This window comes from Homo sapiens, chromosome 2, assembly GCF_000001405.40.
Source record: "Homo sapiens chromosome 2, GRCh38.p14 Primary Assembly".
Classification (NCBI taxonomy): domain Eukaryota; kingdom Metazoa; phylum Chordata; class Mammalia; order Primates; family Hominidae; genus Homo; species Homo sapiens.
In genome coordinates, this window is record NC_000002.12 from 108,143,341 (window position 1) to 108,153,499 (window position 10,159).

Genomic DNA, 10,159 nt, shown 5'->3' on the forward strand with positions numbered 1-10,159 from the left:
CATTATAGAAAGAATAAGTGAAGGTAAAATAAAAAGTCATTTTTTCTTATTCTTAATTGATATAACATAAAACATTATGACCAAAAGATAGTAGCAACAACGTATTTGAGTTATAGCTTATGTATAAGTGAAATGAATGACAGCAATGACACAAGACATGGGAGGAAAAAATTAAGAATAGCTTGTTATCATATGTTACTTAAATTATCCGTGAAGCAGTATACTGTTATTTCAAAGTGGACCTGGATTAGATGTTGTATATTACAAACTCTATAGCAACCACTCAAAAAAATAAAAAGAGAAGCATAATTGGTGTTCTAAGAAAGGAGATAAAATGAAATCATATAAAATGAATTAAATGTTCAATTAAAATCACATATGACAGAAAAAGAGCAGAAGACAAGAACAATGAATAGAAAACAGTAACAAATATTGTAGATATTAATCCAATTATATCAATAATCACTTTAAAATTCAACCATGTAAATACAGTAATTAAAAGGCAGAGATTGTCAAAGTGGATTTAAAAATAAGACTTAATTATCAATTGTCTATAAGAAATTTACTTGAAATATAAAGACACATATATATTAAATGTAAAGAGATGGAGAATGACTCCAAGCATATCACATTGTGGAAAAGGGGAAATTACGCAGACGGTAAAAAGACCAGTGGTTGCCAGAGGTTAGGGAAGGAGAGGAAAGAATAGGCAGAGCACAGAGGATTTTTAGGGTAGTGGAACTACCCTGTATGATACTAGGCAGGTGAATATATCTCATTCTACTTTTGTCACAAGCCAAAGAATGTGCAAAACTGGAAGCATATCTTAAGCTAAACTATGGACTTTGAGTGATAATGTGTCAATACAGATTCAGCAACTGGAACAAGTGTACTACTTTGGTGCAGAGATACTGATAGTGGGGGATGCATGGGTGTGTCAGGGAAAGGGGCATTGAAATATCTCTGTACTCTCTGCTCTATTTTGCTGTGAATCTAAAACTACTCTAAAAGCTAAAGAATATTTTTAAATTAAAAAAATAAAACCTGCCAAAAATATTTGACAGACCAGATACAATTAGTTAGATAATCTGCCAAGATAAAAATATCAATTATGTTTTTACAAAGGTATTCATTTTCCTCCAAATATCTCTCCATCGGGATCCATTAAGGTCTTTGAGGCTATTGCCTAAAGCCAGGGGGAAAGAGGTGATTGGCTTGGCATTTTAACTCTGCTCTTGTTTTCTCAAATGGATATCAAATATAGCAACTGATAAGACATGTGGGGATAGATGTTATGCCACCTCTTCCTTATGAATGCCTAGTAAAAGAGTTTGCTGTGTCATAGGTTGCTTTGCAAACCAGTTCTTTCTGCAGCTCCTACATCCAGCTGACAAAGGTCTTTCATAGTCAGGGATGGGAGTTTCAAAACTGACTCTATGGAATTCAGAGGATGAGTCCGCATGGGGTAAAGAGTGTCTGAACCTACACAGAGTAGGGCCTCGACAAGTTCTGTGGAATTACAAAATGCTACCCAACCTGAAAATATAATTTGATATGCAAATAAATAAGTTTGCAAATTCTACTGAGAATCTTGATGAGCAATAAAAGGAACTGTTAATGCTGGTGGGAAAATCCTGGGTGCCTACACCATTTCCTAATGAAACTTGAAGATTTGACCATTCTGTCCATTTCCATCCTTGTTTGAGTGGTGTATAAGTGTTTTACCCCGCATTCAGTTCTACCAAAATTAACTGTGAGCCATCGTGTTGCTACATTGTGTTTATCCAATTTGTGAATAAGTAAAAGGGAGTAATATGACCAAAAACATCAAGATACAGACCCAAAATGGAAACATTTTAAATGTTAAAATAGTACCTTACATCTACTCCACATTTCTACCTTGAACAATTACCATGTTGATGGGTTAACTTTTATAAACCGTTAGAATCCTACTAAGATGCCTGTTAAAATTTTATTTTCACTGTTACTTAATTCATGATGAAAATGTCCTTATGTACATTAATAGACTAAATCCTGACATTAAGAACTCTGAAGTAGAGCAACAGCATATCTATACAAAGATTTCTAATTTTATATTATCTTTGTTCCATACACTTGCTGTGACTTTACTTGGAATAGTCACATTTCTTCATCAGCGTCATTGTCCATAGGTTTCCAAATTAAATGCAATTACTTAAAAGGAATCAATAACACAGCTAAGACAGCTCAGACCCTGGGTGGTTCCTAAAATAAGTTTCTATCTTTTTTACCAGAACAATGTCTAGTCAAGTTTGAAGAATATTTTAAGAGGCCCTAAATCAGATTAAGTGCTGGCTTTCAGGTCTTGATATCTCGGAATGCTGCCAGATAGCAATCTCTGCTATTGAGTCATTTTACATTAGGAGAGCTTGTTCTGATGATGCCCAAATGACTCATGGCTTCTAATTCTCTTAAAGAGAGCCATGAGACCTGCAATGTTAATTACATTATGGGACCGGGTGGAGGAGGACCATTTCTTTAATGGAAATGGATCCAAATTATGCATCTCAGGCTCCTGTGTGCAGAGTATTTTGGAGTACAGGCTTGTTCTAACAAGGAAGGCATTTTAGTCTCATGGCACCAGAGTTGTTACAGTTTCTACTTTGCAAATATATCTTTAATGAATGAAATACTAATTAGTATGACCAGAGTAATTAGAACATGTGGAATTTGGCCTCCTCTAGCCTAGGATGCCAGGAAACAACTGTATTGGGCAGCAGCTCCTGGGTGCTTGCATGGTGTACTGAGTGCAGAATTCATTCTGAAAGGACAGTTTTATAGGAAATAGCCATTTACCCTGAGTATGAATGATGGGTCTGGTACCCAGCTTGCTCCAGACAATATTTGTTTGATGGAAGGAGATTTTGTTATGCCTTAACCATAAAGACACTACCTACATTAATCAAGAATTATTTGAATTTTGTGTTTTTAAAAGAATGAATCAAAGGAGTTTTATTTCATGAGCTTTGTCTGGAAATACTGAGCTTTATCCACAAGAAAATCTCTTCCACCTCTCATTTCATACATCTGCTTTGGTGGTTCACACTGAAACAAAGGAATCAAATTATATCAATTCAAAAGCCATATTCCTTAGATGCTGTGTAGGTTGTACAGATACTGAGTTTTATTTTCCACTTACCCAGAGCATACCTGGATTATGGGTTATCAAATGCTTTGAGAGGGTTTTAGCTTTGTAAAGGCTATACAGAATGTATTAAGTTTAGTTCTGTTAAATAATGAGAACAACCTTATCCGCCACTCTGAGTTTTAGGAGCAACTTGTGACAGAAGACAAAATGAAAAGGTACTAATTCATTAATTTGCAACCTTATAAGTCAAAAGACTACCTTTCCCTAGATACAAAGTTGTAAAACCAAACAGAGGAGCTGGGATTAGCTGACCTTATAGCCGGGAAGAAAAGGCCCCAACATGTCTGACCCTCTAAGTAACACAGACAAAGGGAGGATCCTACAGAGATAGTTTTCCTGAAGACCAGGAGAGATCAGCTACTCAGGCACAGAAAAGCCATGCCTCCGAGACACATAGATAAAGGAGAGAAGCCGAGAGAAGCCTCTCTTGAGTCTGCTGTCTCAGATTCCACTTTGGGAGGCTTGTATTTGTTTTGTTTCATATAATTTAAACTACACAAATAGTTAAAGAACACATTCAAATAACAGAGTTAAAATGAAAATTCTCCTTCATTGTCCTCTCCCATATTCCAGGAACCTCCCCAGAGATGACTATTGACTATTATATGGTAAACAATAATTAAGTTCATTTCTTTTTTATGTTTTGCTGACTTTCAGTTATATACACATTTTGTTGTTATGAAAGCATATTCGTAAACGTAGATTATATATGGGTGTCTATATATGCATTATAAATATATACACACACATAAATATGTTTATTAGTTTGCTTTATTTTAACTGTTCAAATATATGGTACACGGATCTCCACTTGTACTCCTGCCCTGCAAAAGGGTTGGGCCTGCCTAGTCATTTCTGACACTATATTTTGTTTTATTTTGTATATTTATATTTGTATCTCACCTATGTTCAAAAATTTCAGAGGTAATTTACAAAAAAAAACATATTCATATAGATACAGTGTAGCCAAAGATGAAGCTATCAGAAATTATATAGTCTGTTTGCCAAAAATATTCACAGTGAAATATTATATAAAAGTATATTAAAATATAAAAAGCTCTAGAAAGTCAAAGAAAATAATTTAAGTAAGTTAACAACTTTTAACTTTGTTGCAGTGCTTGCTGTTACACTGAGCCCAAACAGAAGCAGTAATGAGTTTCTTCTTAATGGAAAGTGGGAAACACAAATTCCTTAAGCAAAATTCTAAAATGATATTCTCATGTGGAAGTCTACAGTAGCATTTTTATAGCAAATGTAATAGTGAATTACGTATGACTTTTATTTTTGGTGTAGTCTTACAATAAGAGTTGAAATAAATTAAAATGCAGGTTATGAAAATGATTCTGTTATCCAGGCAGTGACCTGGTTATTTAATGTGTATTAGAGAAAGCCAAGAGTTTGCCATCACCCACAAATTTGATGGTAGTTTTCTAAATCTCTGATGAATAGGGCAGGCCATAACCAGGGAACTATTGTTTTTGACTGTTCTTGACTGAGCACAAGCAGATGAAGAACTAGAAAATGCTCAGTGCCTGGTAGATTTCGTTTCCGCAGACCTGAATAGGATCAGTTCCTCTTGGCATAAAGGGATATTGGGTGATGCTGTTACTGAATGCTCTTAGCCATTCTGGAAATGTTACTGGCTGGTCTGGAAGTTCCACCAATTTTTCTGTCCTTGCCTTCCTTCTGTAATTTCCCCCAGAGCCCTTGGTCCAAGTCTGAGAACAGAATACTTTTGTATTAAATTTACCTTAATTAAACCAATGTATACACTAAGATAAAAGAGCACCTATTGCCAGCAAATCCATTTAGAGATTTAAAAATATTTACCTCTTACTAAGTATGGCAGGCTCTGCATATTTAGTCAGAATGATAAAATTTTCTCAAAGACTTACAATCAGGTTCAGCTACAGTAGTTTTCATTGTGGGAAATATAATTTAAAATTATTATGAAGGGAGAAAATATAATAAATTCATTATTCCATTCCTGCCCCTTCAAAAACAAAAAACAAAAATCAAAAACCCTTTTTCCAGACTTGGGCTCATCACACAGTCCCCATGTTAATCCCCACATTAGACGTTCTGACAAGGTACTCCATCCTCTCTCAGCAGGGTCTATGTGTGCGGCACACTTTGAAATCTTTGATTGAAGTGTTGCCACTTTATAATTTCATTTTTCGTGGATAACAAATATGAGAATTCATTTGGGGATCAAAATAGAACATCTCGATGCTAGACTTGACGTTATCATTGTCGAGCTGTCAAAAGAAAAACTGATGAGATGGCAGATTATCTTGTTAAAAGAGCCTCAATTCAGTGGTTTGGAACTTACAAGCAATTTAGCCACACTGTCTGCAAGCCCATCTAATAGTGGGGCATCATTTGAAACAATACATACATGTTAAATATGGGTTTTATTGATGAAACAAAGTCCATGAGCTCATTAAGTATGGACAGGTTTGGGGTCTCACATAAGTAAGATCACTTTTAATATCAAGTTTGTAAAGATTTAAGAATACTACTGTGCAAGACTATTCCACAATGTAAGGAATGTAAAGATCTTGCATAGGTTGTACTTTACCATTGAAAATAAATATTTGATATACAACCAGGTACTTCATTATTTCAAATCTATAGTCATTTTAAATACCCTTTAACTCAAAATTTTTACATTGTTGACGGTTGTTATAATAAAGTCAATTAAAGATTTCAAAAGACATTATATGCATGGGCCACCTTCTCTTTTCATATGCAACAAGAAGTAAAATGGGAACCCTCTTTCAAACCAGCAACTGCTCACAACTAATAGTGGTATGAGTAGGTATTTGTATTTCCACTGAGCATATGTGTATAAATGTTCATTCATTCATCTCACCAACAGTTATTGTGTACAATTTTCTTCTGTGGATGTAAGCAAAGTTCATTAGGCTGATGGAGGGCAACTAATTTTTGCATTAGGTCACACTTAGCTCCCAGATCCCTCACGTCTCTCCTTTCTACTCTGCCTTCTGAACACACTACATCTACCAGCTCCTGGGTTTTTTTTTACACTCTTCCATGTGGGAAAGGGGAGCATTTATGATTCTCAAGAAACTGTGATTTAAGGTTTTTAATCACTTTTTATGATATTGTACTTCTTTAAAAGACTATAGAAAAGGACCTCAAAAGAATAAAAAGTTTGATGGTAAAATTTCAGGTCATGAAATATTTCTCCTTGAACTAGAAATTGTCTGAATCTTTTCCAGTAATTCTTAAAATCACTTGTGCAAAAATCACTTGTCCTTTATTCTTTCAATATGGTCCATTTTGTTAACCTAACCATAAACCAGTCTCACTATTTACATATGCGGTGTTTGAAGAATCCCAACATCTTATTCTCCACTGAGCTTGGGATCAGTTGAGAGATATAAATGAGTGTTGGACAGAGTTTATTGTTGATCAAACTGGAACAGAAGATTTGTTTTAGATGTGCAGCTGCAATGGACCAAAATAAACATATGTCCCCAAACTACAGGCAAAGCAAGAAGGTAGACCAACCATTCTGCAGGCAGACTGACTCAGAGAGAAAAGAGGCAGCCAGGACAACATTCTCAGCTGCTTGTCCTAAATTCATCAAGGGAAAAAGTCATTCTGCCCACCAGGGAGAGTAAGTAGAGTGGGCACAGAGGGCAGGAGCTTAGTCTAGCTCATGAGATCAACGAGCAAAATGGAAGAAATGTTACATTTAATGAGCACTTACTGAGAGCCTGAAATACAGTTCCAAACTTTATCTTGAGTATCTTGCTCTATTTTTGTTAAAGTCCCATGAAATAGGTATTATCCTCTATTACACTTTAGGAAAGAGAATCTCAGAGATATGGTAACTTGCCCAAGTAGCAGAGCTAGGATTCAAACTCAGATTTCTCTTAATCAAAAGCCAGAATACTACCTATCTCCATGCATTGCTTTCCAGTACCTTATCAAGAAAAAAAAAAATTTCCTCCCTCAAGATGTGCTCATATTTTAAGTGGATAAAATATGTATGTATATTATTTTCAGTATTGCATTAGTGACAGCTGTAGATTGTTTTCAAATCAAAAATCTTGAAATGAACTCTATCAAGAAAAGAAGAAGCAGAACATCTACATGGGCATTCAGTTCCCACTCGATCTGTTGGTGGTCACGCCTCTCAACATCTGTCTTCAATAGCAGCAGAAAGTAATCACCATAAGATCACTATGCTTTCTCAGTCGGCTGTATCAAATATCTATAATTGCTCTTTAGTTAGATAAAAGTTACCGAGAACAAATAGAAACATTACTGTTATGCCTCATTTCTAAATTAAATATATATGTATTTTAGAAGACACTGAGTTATTTTAAATTATAGATATATATGAAGTGTACACCAGTGGGCCTCTCATCCTTAGGATCACAAAAATAAATCTCAAAATTCAGAGGTATAAAGCCTGGAAAAAAAAGTATCTTTCAGTTTAGGCTTATTAAATGATATGCCTAAGTATTATCACCAGTTGATATCAACTATATTTCAAAATTAAAATTGTGATTAATTGGGTAGTTCAAATTCACTCTAATTTTTTAAAATGATGTTTATTTTCCTTCAGTAAGTCTTTGTGAGGCCCCGAGCCTCACAGATCTGCACTGTGGCATCTCAACTAAATCTGTTCTTATATCCTTCCACTGGGAACCACTTAATAGATAAACTGGTCTCTTTAAGAAAGAAAGGTTGATGGAAAGAGGTTCAAGAAAGTTGTAAAAGCTGATGAAATATCAAACAACACAATTTTTAAATTACTCTTCAAACATAGTGATGAATTGAACAAGGGATGAGACACTAACTAGACTAAGTAAGCTAGAAACATGTACAACAGCAATCTGGCTTCTGGGGTGTCCCTAACTAACTTAAAGGAGAACAATATCAAAGATACAAGCCAACAGTCATGCTCAGTCTCATTTCTCTACGTTGGCCAGAAGTAAAAAATCTAGCCAAGATTAAAATGCTAGCCAAATAGCTATCACAAGATTACAAGCAACAGAAGATCAGATTCTGAGACCAAAAAGGCTTGGGATCAACGCCTGATTTCACCTTGGATTTTCCAATTATAAAATTAGGAAATTAACAAGTACCTTCACTGGGCTGCTTGGACTTGCAGGAGTTCATATACATGTCAAGTACAATGCTGAGACACTGAAAATATTCCTTTCCCTCTCCTCTTCCTAAAGACGCATATCTCATTTCATTCTTTTTTTTTTCTTTTGAGATGGAGTCTCACTCTGTCACCCAGGCTGGAGTGCAGTGGCACAATCTCAGCTCACTGCAAGCTCCACCTCTTGGGTTCAAGTGATTCTCCTGCCTCAGCCTCCCGAATAGCTGGGATTACAGGTGCCTGCCAATATACCCAGTTAATTTTTGTATTTTTAGCAGAGATGAGGTTTCACCATGTTGGCCAGGCTGGTCTCGAACTCCTGACCTCAGGTGATTTGCCCACCTCGGCCTCTCAAAGTGCTGGGATTACAGGCATGAACCACTGTGCCCGGCCTCATTTCATTCTAACAATAACTCTATTAAGTAGATACTCTAGTGATGCCCAGATGAGAAAACTGAGGCACAGAGATTTGTCCCAGTTCACAGACAGAAGTTGTGCTGGAACTGGGAGTGCTGCCTCTACTCTGAGTGGGGGATATGACAACTTTTCTTACAACAAAAGGGCAAGCCAATACTTAGCACATCAGACACTGGTAATAGTTGAGTTCATTAATTAACAAAGTATTCTTACCAAAGCATCTACATTTATTTAGCTTTTGAACTTTAAGCTTATATTTGTCACATAGAGAAGATAATGTACCATGTTTCCATAAAAAGGTAGCATCAGTTTAACGCTCCATCGACTAGATCTGTACTCTTTTCACGTTCTATTTTCTGTTGTTCTCCAGCACCCAGCAGAGTACCAAGACTGGCCTGATTGTCCAGGGGCTGGAGCCAGGCCTGGTTCTGGTGAGTTAAGATGGAGCATTCCTGGTCAAGGCAGAAGACACCTATAGCCAAATGGATGGACAGAACTTAAGCCTGCAGGAGAAGGCTAAGGCTTTTGAGAGAGCACAGACAACCACCAAAGAAGAGTGAGTGGCTCTGGACCAAGAGCTGACAGCAAGGTAGAGATGAGGAAGGTGGAATGTGGGCACAAGAGAAGGGGGAGGGGCTGTAGGCTGCCCAGAGTGCTTCCCTTGAACACCAGCTGATCTTTGAGATGCAAATGTGCAAGCCTAATATTTCTTGATACATAATTGAGATATTTTGACTTAGGTTTCAGAATATCTGAAAGGTGGAAATGGTTTGTGCTTAGAACTGGTCTCTCCATCTGACATGCAGAGTCTAACACGGAGCCAGCTCCCAACTGGAATCAAACCCAGAAGTAAAGAACCAGCCTCTGTCAGTCTGATCTCCCAAGCCCAAATCTATGAAGTGTTTATAAGTGCGACCCCCTTCCAACCCCTTCAAAATGTATGTTTTCATGTCTAAGAGAAAAGATTTGATTAAAAACTAAGGAGCTGCGTGTGGTGGCTCATGCCTGTAATCCCAGCACTTTGGGAGGCTGAGATGGGTGAATAGCTTGAACCCAGGAGTTTGAGACCAGCCTTGGCAGCATGGCGAAACTCTGTCTCTATAAAAAATGCAAAAAAAAAAAAAAAAAAAAAAAAGCCGGGTGTGGTGGTGCAGGCCTGTAGTCCCAGCTACTCAGGGGGCTGAGGCAGGAGGATTGCTTGAGACTGGGAGGCAAAGGGTGCAGTGAGCAGAGATTGAGGTGTTGTACTCCAGCCTCAGCAACAGAGGGAGAGTGTCTCAAAAAAAAAAAAAGAAAAGAAAAGAAAGAAAGAAAGAAAAAGAAAAAAGAAACTAAGGTAATGGTAATGTATTATGTTTATGCAGATATATAAACATAATTTTATACATAATTTTATATTAAGATCTCAA